This window comes from Homo sapiens, chromosome 7, assembly GCF_000001405.40.
Source record: "Homo sapiens chromosome 7, GRCh38.p14 Primary Assembly".
NCBI classification, from domain to species: Eukaryota; Metazoa; Chordata; class Mammalia; order Primates; family Hominidae; genus Homo; species Homo sapiens.
In genome coordinates this window covers 56,618,633-56,636,472 of record NC_000007.14, presented here as the reverse complement: position 1 = coordinate 56,636,472, position 17,840 = coordinate 56,618,633, and the positions used below count along the sequence as shown (strand labels likewise).

The 17,840-nt window shown below is 39.3% G+C and overlaps 1 pseudogene; it reads left to right on the top strand.

The window, feature by feature from the left end:
• Nucleotides 3,746-4,737, top strand: TRIM60P16 (tripartite motif containing 60 pseudogene 16; annotated as a pseudogene).

Sequence of the window (17,840 nt, the reverse complement as noted above, 5' to 3'; positions counted from 1 at the left end):
TCTCTTATGGGAGAAAGTTGAGCCTAGAGAAATGGCCATCAATGGCCACACTTTATTACAGATGCTCTTGAGCTCAACCCTCTGGGCACCACATGAGCTGGCTTGCTGCCCCACCTCTTTGCTTGTCTTCTGGGGGCTGCATCTCAGAGACGTTTAGGCCAGTAATCACTCAGTGCAGTCTGCCCAGGATGGAGGATCTGTGCTTTTGGCCAAGTTAGTTGTTCACTGTCTGGTGATAAGCAGTGTGTAGTTTGTGGGACCCATGGAGGATGGACTGGCCTCCTCTCCTTGGGTAAACTGCAGCTTGTTTGAGGTGTGAATAAGGCACTTAGGGTTTTGGATTTTTCATTAGTCTGACAGTAGCAAGGACAGTTCTACTGCAGAAGCAGAGGCAGAAATATTTTCAGTTGTCCCTGGAGGCTCTGGCCAGGGAGTTTCTAAGTTGCTACTGGCTGAATAGCTCTGGAAGAAATTGGCTAGTGGCCCAGGCCTGGAGAACCTGACCAGTGAGAATATATGAGAAAAGGCACTCATGTAACAGTCTGGCCACTTTACTGAAGGGCTGCTGCAGTATGCTGGGTGTCCACTGCAGTTTCTAGTCACCTCAGATTTTCCAGCATCTGACTTTTAACACCGCTGAATGCTGCAAAACAGCAACAATGACAACATGCCCTTTTCTCTAAGGGCTCCATCCCAGGGAGGTACAGGCCTGTTTCCAGCCCCAAAGCACCTGTAGAAGGTACCTGGAAACCCCTGTTGAAAAGTCTTAGCCAGTGAGGAGAACATGATTGGGGACCCACCTAAGAAAGTAGTGTAGGCTGGGTGCAGTACCTAGCACTTTGTGAGGCCAAGGTAGGTGGATTGCCTGAGCTCAGGAGTTCTAGACTAGCCTGGGCAACATGGTGAAATCCTGTCTCTACTAAAATACAAAAGAAGAAAATTAGCTGGGTGTGGTGGCGCGCACCTGTAATCTTATCTACTCGGGAGGCTGAGGCAGGAGAATTGCTTGAACCCAGGAGGCAGAGGATTCAGTGAGCCAAGATTGTGCCACTTCATTCCAGCCTGGCGACAGTGAGACTCTGTCCCAAAAAAAAAGCAGTCTAGCCACATTTTTATAGGATAGCTCTGTTGTGCTGAAGTACCACTTCCACCCCCAGTTTATTTGGACTCTCCAAAGCCAGAAGGCTGGAACAGCTAAGTCACACAAACATCAAAAATGGCAGCTCACTCTTCCCTCTAGGAACTGTATCCCAAAGAGGATTCAAAACTCCACTGATCAAAGAGCACCAGTGGTGGTAGCTGGAGACCCTGGTTGGGAAGTAGTTTGCAGTTAGGAGGAACTAGATTGGGGACCTGCTTTAACAGATAGTCTGGCCATGTCTTTTTAGAGCACCTGTACTGTGCTAGGAGATGCTTTCTGCCCCCAGTCAGCTTGGGCTCTTCAAAGCATGAAGGCTGGAATGGCTAAGTTGCCCAAGAAGCAAAGATGATGGCCCATTCCTCTTTCTGGTAGCTCCATCCCTGGGGGGTGCAGTGCTGCTACCAGTGGTTGGCTGTAATTCTAAGCCAGTAGGTGTTACCCTGTGAGGCACTGTGGAAGTGGGTCCTACAGACCATCACTGCTCAGCCACTTGGGTCCCGCCTCTTTCTCATGGGTATGTACAGAGGTGTAATGCCCTACTTTGCTAGAGTTGCAGCTACTTTTTCTGGGAAGCCTGGAAAGCCAGAGTATCTAAGACTCTTGAATCTCTATGCAGGCCTCAGTGGCTGCTCTGCTGAGACTCCGTGTAGCTCTGTGTGTTAAACTGAAGGCCTTGGTGAAGTGGGTTCATGAGGGTATCTCCTCACCTGAAGGTTGCAAAGGTCTGTGGGAGAATCATGGGTTTCTAGGGTCACACATGCACTCACTGCCTTACTGGGTGGGGAGGTTCCCTTGGCTCCATGTTGTTCCCGGGTGGCCCATTGTCCTGCCTTGCTTTACTCCATTCTCCGTAAGTTAAGTTGTTTCTTTCATTAGTTCCAATGCAAGTACCTGGATGTTTCAGTTGAAGGTGCTGTATCTACACACACCTTGCATTCCTCTCTATGAAGCTACACAGTCTAGCTCCTTCTACTTTTTTATTTTAAAAGAATTTAATATATTTTCAAAAGCAAGTATTCACATAATTTAACTCTTACATTTGATGCTATGTCTTCATTCTAGAATTTATGTGAAAGAACATGGTCAATGGTTGCTGCACCAGAGTTAGGAGAAGTTCTTCCATATTAGATAAAAAGATTTATGTACTTTCCCATGGAAGATTAAGGAAACTGAAATCTAAGATACATGAAGAAATTCTAAGTGGAAAGGCCACTTAGTGGTTGGCTTACAGCAGTATTATAAGTGACAGGGTGATAGAAGTGTGGTAAGTGATTAGGATAATATTCTGCATAGTAAGAGAAACAATTTGAATTTTAGGAGAAAATTGCTTTACCATTTGCAAACTAAGGTAATTAAAATACAGTGAATTTCAAAATGCCTTTTTAATGACAATGTGTGAACTTGTTTTAATAAACCAAAATTGTTGTTATTGAGTTAAGGCTATTTTACACCTAATGTGTGTCTTGCCACTGATGTTAATTATCTCATCTTACCCAAGGTTGTAGGTCAACAGATGGTAACAATATACTATTGTGTGACTGTGGAATAACATCTCTAGTGATTTCTTTGTCAGTGGTCTTTAACTTAACATAATTTGGAGAATATGATTCCTACAAATTAACATTTTTGTTTTTCTTGTAACTACAGGTTATTATGATGGTTGTAATGAAGATTATATGAGTATAATGGAGCTATATGTTTCTGAATTCTGAACAACTAGTTACAAAATATTCTTTTTTCTGTTGAACATGTGACGTATCTGGTCTGTTAAACATAGAGACCTTTAGTTTTGATATATATAGATTTAAATATACAGACGTGTAATGTAAAATAAACTTTAGTTGTAACAGATTTATAGAGAAAGTAATCATTTGTTTATGTTTGTATACCTATTTTGAAAAGAAAAATATTAGAATGAAACAGATAATTTTACAAGTGTTGATATCTTACCAGCAAACCAGAAATTTCAAAGATTTTGAAAGCAAATCTATTTTCTCTGCTTTGTATGAAATTCATTTATCTAAAATGTTATTGCTTCTGGCTTAGAATTATTTTGTGCAAATTCTCTTTTTCTTTTTTTGGTTTGTCTGTTTGCCTGTTGCTCACCATAGACATAATATATACTTTTCTATTCATCTAATTTCATAAAACATTCTTTGTATAATCCCCTCAGAGATTATGACAGTGACTGACAAAATTTAATGGTGTTCACAGAATAATTTTCACATGTGAGTAATTTCACACTGAGTTTATTATTGTGTGTTATTTATTCAGTACATTTTCTGTTTTGTTTAGAGAATGCTATTTAATCCAATTTTCATTTAGTTATTGATCATTTTACTTTATAAAATTGATATACTTTATTAAATATATTGGGTCAATTTATTCAAGTAAACAGTTGAACATTTAATATTGGCATATACATGAAGTTAACCAACAAAAACAATACTAGCTATGTAGTAGAAGCTACGTAATTAGAAATCAATATTCTCTTTGAAATTAGTTTGTGGTCTCAGGTGAAAAACTGAAAATATTTATAGTAGTGACATTAGTTCTGCATATGAAGAGAGCATAATTGTACCTATGGTGCACAATTGGCTCTCCCAATTAAAACAAGACGAAGAGATGGACATTTTAGCAAAACTAAGTGAAAACCTTGTAAAGTTTTTGGATTGTGTTTCTACATTTGAACATCTATTGAGGGAGTTAGAGGGGAAGTCTTTGCTGTCAAATCTGGAATTGCTGACACATGTTAAGAGTATGCTCCACCAGTTTTGAAACTGAAAATGCCCTGAACTCTTTTCATTTAGATTAACAAAATAGGGTTTTAGTCTTCCTTGTCTATGTTCTGGCTTAGACAGAATTATCAAGCCATTTCAAGTAGAATTTATTCTAGATTTTTTTTTTTTTCTTTCTGAAATGGAGTCTCGCTCTGTCGCCCAGGCTGGAGTTCCATGGCACAATCTTGGCTCACTGCAACTTCCACCTCCCAGTTTCAAGCAATTCTTTTGCTTCAGCCTCCCGAGTAGCTGGGACTACAGGCAACCCCCCCACCGTGCTTGACTAATTTTTTGTACTTTTAGTAGGGATGGGTTTTCACTGTGTTAGCCAGGATGGCCTTGATCTCCTAACCTCATGATCTGCCCCGCTCAGATTCCCAAAGTAATGGGAATACAGGCATGAGCCATTGCACCCAGCCTTGGTTCTAGATCTTGACACAGCACATCTTCAACTTACTGTCTCCGAGATGAGAAAACCTGTGTGATATGGAAGAACAAAACCAAACGTGTTATAACCCAAGGAGATTTTATTTCTGCCCTGCTATCCTGGGCTCTCAGAAGTGTAGTTCTGGCAGACATTACTGGAAGGTAGAAGTGGGAAACAAGGCTAAATGAAAATTGGGCATGTTTTAAGACTGTCTTCTTAGGAACTGACAGGATCGGCCTTCAGTTTTGGGTAGATTTTGGGCAATTGAGTGATATATAAAGAGTGGTTTTGTTGCATCAGATCCTAAGATAACCCAGCTTCTGCTAGTAGTAAAACCCAGTAAGATTGGTATTTTTTTTTTGGACTATGAATTGGGCAATTTTTCAAAATAATAGTAATTTTAAAAATCTGTCAATTTTGAATTGCATACCTAGCCAAAATTTTTTAAGATTGAAGATAAGATGTAAAATAATTCATACAAGTAATATAAGCTGTTTTCTTAAATTATTTACTTATTTAAGAAATCTAATTACATTTTAAATAAATTGCTGTCAACTGTTAGTATTTGTGAGGCTTTTTTTTTTTAAGATTTTTGCCTCTAAAACAGGTGACAATTTGAACAAAGAGGAAAACAGAAATTCAATGACTGGCATGAAAATTCATGAAAACAAAAGGTTTGTATGACGACCTAATTAAAATAAAGGATCAACATCTTAATTTTTGTTTTTACACATTATTGGATAAAAGTAGCCCTGAGATAGTAATGTGCAGAAAATACTATTAATCATATTCTTGAGACTCTCTTACTGACTTTGGCACTTTGAGAACCCCCAGCACAGGCCCAGGATTCCCTGGGCATTTCTTTTAAGAGAACATCACATGGAAATGAAGCAGAAGGCCATGTCCACAAAGAGAAATGGATGCTCACCTCCTAGAGACCAGTGGGTGCAGGTTGCAGAAAGAGTAGGCCCTTCTTGGAGGTCCAGGAAGGGGCTATTGGAACCATCCTAGAAAAGGCCTGGAGCTCCACTGAGCCCTTCTGCCTGCAAGGGCTTCAGAGGGCCCTGGGGGAGGCCAGCCAAGGTGCTCTTTTCTATCCCTGGCCCTTGAGTCCTGCCTCACCTGCTAGCTTTTTCCACCAAGAAATCAGGATGGTAACCCCCAATGCAGCCCCACTAGCGGTAGGAGAGTGTCAAGGCCCGCACCCATCTTGGCACATTAAGTGACTTATTGAAGAACTAGTCAATAAGTTAGAGCAGAATGTGCTACTGTGACCGCCTGAGATTACATTCTAGGAGGAAACCCGGGTGGCACCTACCTGAGGCTGTGCATTGGAGGAAGGATGGACAGGTCAACTGGGCTTCAGTGAACATGTGCCCCTAGCCAACCCAGGGAGACGTGGGCTTGCCAAGAGCAGGCAATAAGGGTGTCATACTGCAGGCATGGTGAGCTGTCAGGTGGGCACAGAGGGGTAGGTATGGGGGGGTCCATGAGTAGGAGAACCCTCTCACGGCCCTGAACTCACCCCAGAGATCCCCCAGCCTTTTGAAGCAGAGGCTGTACCTGAAGCTGCAGGGTGGACACTGCGCAGTGGACTGGTAAAAGTGGGGTAAGCATCCAGTCACTGAGGGGCTTTGATTGCCCATTTTTCTGATGAGCAATTTGAGCCCCCAAAGCCACAAGCCAGCAGGGGCAAAAGCACTGGGCTGAGGCATCACCTTTTTTCTTCACTGGCTCCCATAAGCCTCAGACCTCCCTGGCATGCCTTGAGGATGAAGATCTTTCTTCTTTGTGAGTGTAGGCACAAAAGCAACCAGTTGTGTTTGCTAAGCCCACCCACAATCACTTTTGCGGGCCTTCTCAGTCCACTGGCCTGTGAAACCCAACTGGAATTCCAGGGTCCAGAATTCACATTTTGTTTTAGAACCAGAGTTCAGCACCCAGGCCAGAGCAGAAGTGGGCCTGTTAATTCCACGGCACAAGGCCCAAATCGGAAAACTCGCTTGACTATTCAGCTGCACCCAGGCAGTGTGTGTACTGTTCCAAGCAGGTCCCATTCTCTTCCTGGCTCCAATTATTTCACCTGCAACTTGTTATTTCTGCCAGCTTTTTCTCTACCCCCCACATCCTATGGTTTTTGAAATTCCTCTGAAGACCGCATGAGCTAAGCTTTAAGGGTCACAGTGCTCTAGCCTACTCAGGTTGTGCCAGGAGGAGAGATGTCTCAACCTACCTTGACTGTTAAGAGTCATGTATAAATAGTACCAACTCTAGCAGGAAGCCTGTCACATACTCAAGACTCTTTTTCTGGTCTCCATACCAAAAGATACATTAGAATGACAAGGCAAATAAGACAGACCTAGCAGTTCTGCCTTTTAAAGGGCAACCTCAGCCTGGTCACCCTGAATCACAATTTCAGGGTCTGTTTTAGCACGTCCCACCTTGGAAAATAGTGGAACTGAAGCCCCAGAATAGTCAAGGTCCAGTGAAAAAGTGGAGAAGGGGCACCTCAGCAGCCTGTCACCCTGTAACAGAAACAGACCCTATCAACTAAGAAACCATCTCATAAACTTAGACAACTGTACCAACAATGTGCACACACATCAGGCCTTTTAGTAAACTGTCAACCCAACGATTGAAGAAAAAGCAAAAGCTTTTTTGAATCGAGTCTCAGGAAGAACCTCCACTGCCTGAACCAGCCTGTATAATGGATGCAACTGACAGTGTTCACTTGACTTGGGCATACCTGGAGACTGACCCTGTATTAAAAAATGCTTCTGAGTGTTCAGAGTTCCAAGCTAAAAACTCTAGTAGAGGCCAATCTGGAGATTATTTTGTATCTATGAGGAACATCTGAGCCCCTGGTCTGTCCCATTCTGTGGAATGGAATACAGGCCATACGAGATTGAGGCCATTCCTTTTTTGTTAAATGAAGGCTGATAGGTGGAAGGTTGTTCAGAAAAAAATGTGCTAAATAAAAATGCTATACAAACTACACACTTTTTGCAAGTGGGTGTGGTTATCCTGCTAAGCCCACAGACACTGGACATTCTCCCCTCTATGTAAAAGTCCCCAGTAAAACTCCACATCTCATTCACTGGTTCTGAGTTTCTTCTTTGACATCTTGAACATGGTGCCATTTCCATGGGAGTCGAATTTGACACAACTTACCCCATAGTGAGGAAGGATTTCAGACTGCTCAATGTGCTTCAAAGCTCACCAAGGCATCAGCTGTGGAAGGATGCAGTTGTTGTCTTTACCGCTCTCATCCAGTCGTCTTAGGTGCACAATCAGTGGAACACCAAAAAACATGACTAAGAAACACATCGTAGTCAGAAGCAAGATTAATGCCAGAATAAGCAGTGACCACTTGGAAAGAAAAGGGAGCATTTTGCTTTCTCCTCTGGCAGCCCTCAACTTCTGTCATCACGTTCTGGCTTCATTGATGGTTTTTAAGCTCATCCTGCCTCTGGAGGAACCATGGGCCCTGGGTGGTAAACAACTTCACTTAATCTTCGTGCAACAAAGCTTTCTCTTGACAAATATGACCTCTGTGATCATGAGCTTCTAAGCAATCTGAACAATGCACAACCTGAAAACCTATGAAAGGGAGATGAGTAGGTCTGAGGGAAACTATTTTCCACTTTTTCCTTTGGCTATTCTAAAAGTTGTGATGGTAGACAAATGTGCAGAAGAGGACAGCATAGTATAACTCCTCATCATGTGAGTTTACAACCAAGAGGTTTTAATCCCAGCTGTGAGAGCTCCAAATGAAAACCAGAAGTTACTTCACTGCATCTATCAATGATTGATTGTGCACATCATTTTGTCTATCACACTGAGGAGTCTTCACTGAGGATTTTCCCAATGAAAATATAAAGACAGGAAAAGGTAAAATAGCAACTCCATGAAATCATTAGATAAAATGTAGAAATGCTCGTCTTCTTACATCATTAGCATTTTTGCACATATTTGCATGTATATCTACCCATAAAGTTGACATTTTCATAATCAGTTATATGTCAAGTTAAAATAAAAAAATTTTTGACCAGGTGTGGTGGCTCATACCTGTAATCCCAGCACTTTGGGAGACTGAGGCTTGTGGATCACTTGAGGATAGGAGTTTGAAACCAGCCTGGCAAACATGGTGAAACCCCGTTTCTACTAAAAATACAGAAAAAATGGCAGGCACCTGTAATCCCAGCAACTTGGGAGGCTGAGGCAGGAGAATTACTTGAACCCGGGAGGCAGACATTGCAGTGAGCTGAGATCGTGTCACTGCACTCCAGCCTGGGCGACAGAGCAAGACTCCATCTCAAAAAAAAAAATTGTTTTTTCAGAACAAAAAGAGACACGTATGGTCCAGGCATGCCCTGTGGAGTGGAGTGTGTGTGGCCCTGTCCTTGAAAAGAAGGAAGAACAGTCAGTGCCATGCATTATGTGTGGGGGATTCATTAGGACACAAATAAAGAGTCAGTCAGGGCCTCGGCCTAGAAACACTGAGGCTTAAAGGGGGCTTCTGAAAGCAGCAGAAATGGCCCATGGCACTGAATGCTAGGTGGGCCTGTAATAATAAAAGATCTGTGAAGGGATCTTAGCAATCCTGCTTGAAGGCCCTGACTATACCCTGGATTGGAGACTCCTGGGGTAGCGTGGCTGCCAGACAGCCTCAGCAAACAAGTCTTGACCAGTGTGGCTGGGCTAATCTAAAATAGCTCATCTCTTCTGTTTTACAAAGCAAAATATAGAAAAATAAAGTGAGAAAAAATGAAATCAAGAGAAATATAAAAATTTAAAGTAATTGAAAAATAGGACAAATAAACTGAAATAAAATAGAGAAAAATAAAGAGAAATGTAATTAAGATCAGTGAAAATAAAATGAAGATGAAGAAATACAATAAAATTAAGAGAAATAAATGAAATAATTTGCAATAAAATAAAATTTTAAGAATGAGATAAAAAATAAAAAAAATTTGGAGAAAAAATAATATGAAGGGATATGAATGGAAATAAAAGAAACTAAAAGAAATTTTAAAATGTTACAAGCAAGATAAATCTAGAAAATTTGAAATGAAGGAAATGTAATGAAAATTAAAAAAAAAAATTAATAGAAAAAAGAAAGTAAATAAAGAGAAACAAAATAACGATAAAGACAAATATGCAGAGAAATACAGGTTAAAAAGAAAAATAAGACCTGAGGATAATCTACAAAACATTTGACCCAACAATAACATAATACATAATATTTCTAATAGCATATGGAACGTTTTCTAAGATAGGCAAACTTCTAAGACAGAATGCAAGGTTTAGCATATTTAAACAGATGGTAAGCACAACAAATATTATTTCTGACTGCAATAAAACATAACTTGAAGTTAAAAACCAAAAGAAAACTAGCATGTCTGCATATGTATGAAAACTAGACAAATTCTTGAACATACTCTTTTTCAAGATGTAGAACATGCATGTTTCTTTAGATGTTAATGGTATTTGAAATGATCTACAGATGAATGAGATATCTTTAACAAAAATCCAATGGTACGTTTTGCAGAAGTACTAAAATATTCTAAAATGTCTGAGTCAATATCTAGCTGTGTCACCTAGGCTGGAGTGCAGTGTTGTAATCATGGCTCACTGTAACCTTGACCTCTCAAGCTCATTTTATCCTCCCACTTGAGCCTCACAAGTGGTTTGTACTGCAGTTGCATGTTACCTTGCTCAGCAAGTTTTTGTAATTTTTGTAGAGACAGGGTTTCACCATATTGCCCAGGCTGGTCTCAAACTGCTGGGCTCAAGCAATTCACTTGCCTTGGTTTCACAAAGTTCTGGGATCACAGGAGTGAGCCATCAAATATTGCCCTATAATTTCTATATAAACTCAAAAAACCACAAGCAGCCAAACAACCTGGAAGAAAAGAATAAACTCGGGCATCATTCTTTTTTATTTCAAAACATATTGCAAAGTTACAGTAATCAAAACAGTGTGGTGCTGGCATACAGACAGAAAAATACACGTTGAAACAGATAAGAGAAGCCAGAAAGACACCTACATGCATATCCTCAGCTTATTCTAAACGAGGGTTCCAAATCCTCATGTTGCAGAACTTTAGCAAAATTGGGTTCTTGTCACATGACAAGGAAAGATTAGGTCAGGGACACTCTGAAGGATGAAAAGTAAAGTCGATTGGGTAAAAAGAAAAAAAAGAAGTAAAGAAAAAATTTGTTTACAGGCCCCCACCTCCCAGATTGCTGAACACCAGACCATCATACAAGAACTGAAGTGGCCAGATTCCTCCTCCCTGCACAAGGTGTGAACTTCCCATGGCTCCAGTCCCTTCCCCCAGTGTGCAAGTGGACATTATTCAGACATAATCAGTTGGAAAAAGCCAGGCCTCATCTGGGACCAGCAGTCTGATTTTTCAGCCTTCAGGAGGTTTTAGGCTTGAAGGTGGGGTTTCACCCAGGACCCTTGGCTGTTTCCTAACTGTGTTATTTCCCCCTCTAAAGAAATACATCTAACTGAAGTTAGAATAAGGATAAGGATGAGAACAAAAACCACTTTTAAGTGCTTCCTGCTGACAGGGGTCACTGTTTTGGAAAACCAACAGTTAGATCTCCCTAAGAGGCCTATCTAAGTGTCCGCAGTGAAAGGGGCCATTGTTCAAAGTTCTGGCTGCATGACTGTTTAAAGTTTGGTAGCCTGAAGGTGAGAAGAATCAAACTGGGTTATTAAAAAACATGTATTAAAACGAAACAAGGGGAAGGTGTCAAGGACAGCTAAAAAATTCCTATGTCCTTTATCAGTTTGCATAGGGAGAGGGAAGCCAAAAGCCCAACTGGAAAAGTATATTTTTGACCTTTTGCCAGCATGTCAAGCTTCCAGGTGCTTTTGCCCTGAGTTCAATCTTAAGCCAACCAGTCTAAGGCTTGGGAAATTAACTCTTCCAAGTTTGGAGGATGCATCTGAGGGGATGTATGTAGACATCAATCATGTATGAAGACATGATTACCTATCTGTAAAGGGAGGACAGAGGAGAAAAAAGGAAAAAAGCATTTTTTCAAAGGAGTCCCAAGAGTCCAGGATGCATTCAAAAGTGGTATAGACTAAAGATTAATGGCTACTCATTTATGAAGAAAGGAGCAGGTGTCCCTGATTTCTTTCTCTTCATAGCAAATACCCAGGGTATGTTGAGGGATAGAAGAAAGAATGTTCTCTTTCCCACTTCCATTCTTGTATCCCCAAGTCCCAGTGATTGTGACAGGGTGCCACCCATGGGTGTCAAAGCAGCTTTCACCCATGTTAACAGGGAGGCCTGGGGGGTGGAAATATCTGCTGTTACCCATATATGCCCTATCTCCCCTGCTGCCAGTAGTTCTGGAGTTCACTAGACCTCATTTATGCCACAGATCCTAGCATGATCTTTATCCATGAAATAGGAGGCTTGGCTTAATCAGCTGGAATTAGTCATGCTCACCTTCACTGTGCCTTTTAGCCTCCATTATCATCTGCCTCTGAGTTTCTCAGATCCAGTATTCTTTCCTAGGGCTTCAACCTGAAGCTTGGAATTGAGGTTGGGATAAAAATGTGTGTCAGAGTATTGCATGGACTACTTATCATGAGCTGAATGCTAAGATGAAGCTGTTGAATTGAGTCCTCTTTCCACGAGGGAGAGAGAAGAAACGTCTTGTGACACACCCAGATAACTAGTGGCTATATTTATGCTTGCTAAGATTTGGGTGGGCACCTGATTCATTCCCACCATTCTACAGGATTTGCAGGATAATTGCCCAGAATTGGAATATTAATCCAGATTTTTACATTACCTGTCCTTTTTTGTTTCTTCTGAGCTGCAGTTGAAGATAACTAGTTGGTTCACAGGAATAAGCAGGGTTGGTCTAAAATGTAGGCAAAAATTCAAAACTAGTAAGTTAAGAATTTAATGACAAATGTATAATTTTGAAACATAATCTTTTCTGTCAAGTTCTCTTTTTTGTTAAAAATAAATCATGATAGTACTGGGTTGTTTGTAAAATAAACTTTAGTCTTATACTTGGCCTGATTATTTCCATAAAGTGCAGCAAGAATATTTCTACATAGGTCTTTTACATTGGCTTTGATGGAACTCTGTTCCACAAGAAATTTCAAATAGGACTTTCTAAAGTCAAGCCCAGCCAGGGGTTTGTGCCATCAAATATTTGTAGTGTGATCCTCTCCTCTTATGATCCCAAGATAACCTTGGAGCTCCTGGGCCTGTCAGAAAGTGTCATTCTTTACTTACCACAGATCAGGAACCCTGCACAAGGACTGCATAGATAAGGTATGAGGCCAGTTTTTCCCAAGGGGTGCTTACTGGCTCTGCAAGTTGAGATTGACTCCTTAAAGGGAAGCATACCCTTTCAGTCAAGGCCTTGGTAAAACAACCAGTTTCTCCAATTGTGTCCTGTTGCAAAAGAAAATGGATTATTATTACACTGATGCAAACAGCTATATTGCCATAAGTTAAGAATACTCACAACTATTTCTCAAACTCTGGAGAAGCAATGCAGAGAGAGACAAACAAGCTCCAAATCTTGTTCATAGGAGTACAGCTTAGTCAAATATTAAAGGCTGTAAATAGCTCATAATAAGTTTCCTTGACTCTGGTAAACAATACAAGGATCAGTAATGTTATAAGCGAAAGTCAGATTACCTCAGTTTTCTACTAGTCCAGTCCATTCAGTTAACTCTTTTATGTTTGATATTCATGAACATTTTAGCTTTTCGTGAGTCCTGTACATTTATCCTGTATTCCAAATATCACAGGCTCCAAAGTTATCAGAAGCCTGCATTTGAGAATACCTGTCAAAGTTCTATAGCTGATTAAAAAACATTTTTTGAAAAAATCAAAACAGGACAATTGTCTGTGTATAACAAAATGTCTAGAGTAGTTACAGTCAAAAACATGATTGACAAAAATTTAACATAAAACTTAACATACAAAAGCTTAACATAAAATCCTTAATTGTGGTTGACAGCATATACTTCAGAAATTAGAATTTTAGAAATCCCATACAATTTTGGAACATATATTAGTGTTATTCACCAAAATATCATCTAAAGAATATTAAACACCATTTTGGCAATTCCATGTAACTAAACATGTCATATAATCCTGTTTACCTCTCTTGTGGATACTCCAAGGGCCCTCTTTAGCATCCAAAAGCCGGGAATTAGGAAAGACAATTTTGTAACTAAACTTTGATTTTGAGAAGGATGTTACATGTTAGGGGTTTAAAATACTTCATGTTATGAAATAAAATTCCAGATTGCCATAAATTACTTATTTAACCAAAATGATGACTTAGAAATGTAAAAAGCAAAAGCCTTTTATAATTCTTTACAAATTTTGCTAAAGAGCAGATTAGTGCCTTAAGAGTACCTTGTTGCGCATTTATTTCAATGCTCAATTTTACAAAAAAAACCATATAATACCTTTTTGAATTTAATTAATGTTCACACACGTAATTTCTTTGGCAAGATTTATTTTTTGCAATCCTTCCACAACTTGTTTGAATGTTCAGCTTTGTCTTATCTAACTCAAAACAATTATTTGACCCTAGGCAATAATTTATATTTCCAAGCTTTCTTATAATCTTTTATTATAAACACATTTTACTGTTCTTACACACCTTGTATGTAAATCTACTTCCAATGGTTTCAGTTACATGTTACAATGGTAACTTCTAGCAATTTTAACTGTAATGTAAAACCAGGTAAATTGTTTTAATTATGTGCTAGGTGCAGCCAAGGGTTTGACACTTTCAGCATAATTAAGGGTGTGGTTAATTCCATTTGTCCTTCAGGTCTTTCCAGTTGTGAAGCAAAGTTTAACTGTTCTCAAAAACTTAAAAAGCAGTTTATAACCTTAAAACATATAGCAAACCTAGTGTCTGACCTGCATAATTTAGTTCACCTACTCATATATTGATGACATTTGTGTTTTACCCATAATATTTAAGGCTGCTTTTATTTCTCAAAGATTAAAGTCATGTGAACTAAAAGGTACATAGCTTTTATCTTCATTTAAAAAATATTTGATCCAAGTTCTCATCATTCTTTAAGTAAATTTATTAGAGCTTTTTTTTATAGTCACTACACACACAACACATACATAACTACACAGACAGGCAGAAGAAAACCCTGTAACCATAAGATTTTTTATTTGCCAATTTCCTGATTGAATTACTGGCCTCTCATGCATGCATTAGAGTGGCAAGACAAAATGAAGAAAAAGAATTCAACTGGCTGAGAAAAAACCTTTTCCCAGCAAAACAAGATCCCAGAAGAGAAAAAACATAAAGGTCTTTTAAATATACCTATAATTTGGATATCCACTTTTAATTAAGTTGAGCACTCTTTAAGAAAATCCTGTTAAATTCTTTATTTCTTGACTCTAGCAGTGCCAAGCAGCCAGTATTTCTGGCTTGCAAACTTTACCAAAGGTAGCTTACCAGGTGCTCAGAGGAAAAAAAAAAAAATTAAGGCAGTTTGGGAAGGGGAAGAGAATCCGCAAACGGCAAAAGTTACAAACTGATATGAAACCAGAAGGGATTCATTCCCGAAGCCAGGATTAAACCTGGGCCACCATTGTAAAATGGCAGAGACCAAAACAGAACATTGCCACGTGGTGACAAGTCCTGCTCCTAAAAACATAAAACAAGATGGAGGCCTGCAGCAAAATTTCCTAACAACCTTAGAGAATGACATACAAAGCACACCAGATTGGCCACAGGTCAAGACTAACCTCACAAATACCCTTTCACAATTAAAACTCTACAGAGAATATAAACAGTGAACGTTGGGGTCCAAACCCAGCAAAACATTTTCTAAGAAGAAGAAAAAAGCCTTTTGCTTAAAAGTAAACTGCTGAGAGGGTGAAGAAAAGAAAAAAAAAAGGCTTAAGCGTAGGGCAGGGAAGAAAATTTTCATTCTTACGCAAATGGGTTTCTTCAACAGAGAGAAAAACTTAATTGTTGTTGGATGAGGCTGGATTCCTTGGCAGGTGAAGGGTAGGACACCATGAATGCCTGGCATTTTCCAGCCCAGAGGACATGGGGATGAGGAGCCGCCATTCACCTGTCCATCCCGCATGTGCCTGGGGCTGTTGGGGTAGGGTGGTGCAGTTTCCTCTACCCCCGGGAGAAGTCCAAGGATGAAAAGGCTTACAAACAAAAGAGAAAATGATTTTTTGGTTTACATCTTATCCTTCCTGAAGCCCCACATCTAGTCACTGAAATGTTCCAGAACTTTTTCCTTAGTTCAGCTAAAACCAGCATCTTGTCACATGACCATGAACGAATAGGCTATCGGACACACTGAAGGGTGAGGAGTAAAGTTTATTGGGCAAAAAGGAAAAGGAAAAAGAGAAAAACTGTCAGCAAAGTGAGAGGGATTCCTGTTAACAGACGCCCACCTCACATATTGATGAACACCAGGTCACCACATAGCAACTGAAGAGTCCAGGCTCCTCCCCTGCCAAGAGGTGTGAATTTCCCTGGCTCCACCTCCTTTTCCCAGTGCACAGGTGGGTATTACTCAGAGAGAAACAGTCAGGAAAGGGCAAGCTTCATCTGAAACCAGCCATCTGGTTTTTCAGCCTTCTTGCTGTTTTAGGCTTGAAGGCGGAGTTTCACCCAGGACCGTAGACTGTCTCCGGTCTCTATCACTCAAAATGAGAAAAGGTCCCTTGGCTATCTCCTGTCTGTGTCACTCAAAATGATAAAGGAACAGTCTTTTTAACAAATGGATTGGAGAATACTGAATATCCAAATGATAAAAAATAAAGTTGAACCTTAGCACAAGCATGAACTTAAAATGAAGTAAGACTTATTTTTTATAGCTGTTGTAAATAATTTTTTCTTGAATTTCTATTTCAGATGGCTTATTCTTGGCATGTAAAAATGCTCCTAGTAATTTTTGTATGTTAATTTGGTATTCTGCCACTTTACTGAATTTCTTTATTAATTCTCAAGATTTTTAGTATAGTATTTAAGTTTTGCTATATAGACAATTACGTGATCTGCAAACACAGACAATTTGACTTTCTCCTCCTTTATTTGGATGTCTTTTATGTCTTTGGATGTCTTTTATGGCTTTCTCTTTCATGTATGATCTGGCTGGGACTTCCAGTACTCTGTTGAATAAAAGTGATAAAAGCAGATATCACTGTCTTCTTTCAGGTCTTAAATAAAAAGCTATAAAGACACATGCACACTTATGTTTATTGCGGCATTATTCACAATAGCAAAGACTTGGAACCAACCCAAATGTCCAACAATGATAGACTGGATTAAGAAAATGTGGCACATATACACCATGGAATACTATGCAGCCATAAAAAATGATGAGTTCATGTCCTTTGTAGGGACATGGATGAAATTGGAAATCATCATTCTCAGTAAACTATCACAAGAACAAAAAACCAAACACCACATATTCTCACTCATAGGTGGGAATTGAACAACAAGATCACATGGACACAGGAAGGGGAATATCACACTCTGGGGACTGTTGTGGGGTGGGGGGAGGGGGGAGGGATAGCATCGGGAGATATACCTAATGCTAGATGACGAGTTAGTGGGTGCAGCGCACCAGCATGGCACATGTATACATATGTAACTAACCTGCACAATGTGCAAATGTACCCTAAAACTTAAAGTATAATAAAAAATAAAATAAAAAAATAAAAAGAGAAAATACATAAAAGCATGAATTAGGAAATGAGGTTTACAACTGCAATTTCAAAGAGGTTTGCTTCCCTGTGTTTACTAGTTTTAGGGAAAATAAAGCTTGCATTAAATGTTTTACTTCCTGAAGCAACTCAGGAAAAAAAAAAAAAAAGCTTTCTTCTTTTTCGGTTCAGTGTGATATCAGCTATTGATTTGTCATATTTTGCCTTAACTGCGTTGAGGTACATATCATCTAGACCTAATTTGTTTTGTTCAGTTGTTTTAATCACAAAAGCATTTTAAATTTTTCCAAATACTTTTTCTGCATCTAGAATAAAAAGTAAACGTGTCTAGCAGTAAACTTAATTAAAAAGATAAACACTGTCTACACTATAAATTATAAAACATTGATGAAGAAACTGAAAACATAAAAAATTTGAGAGTTTTTTGCTCATGAGTTATAAAAAATTTTGTTACAATGGCTATGCTACTCAAGGTAATTTACAGATTCAATGCAAACTCTAAAAATACCAATGACATTTTTTCACAGAAATGGAAAAAACAGGCCTAAAATTTATGGGGAACCAAAAAAAAAAAACAAAACACCTTCCCAAATAGTCAAAGTAATCTTGTGAAAAAATAACAAAACTGAAAGTATCAAACTGTCTGACTTCAAAATATACTGCAAAGCTATAACAAGCAAAACAGCATGATACTGGCATAGAAAACAGACACAGAGACCAAAGTATTCAGTGATACCAGTAATAAATTCATAAACATAGAG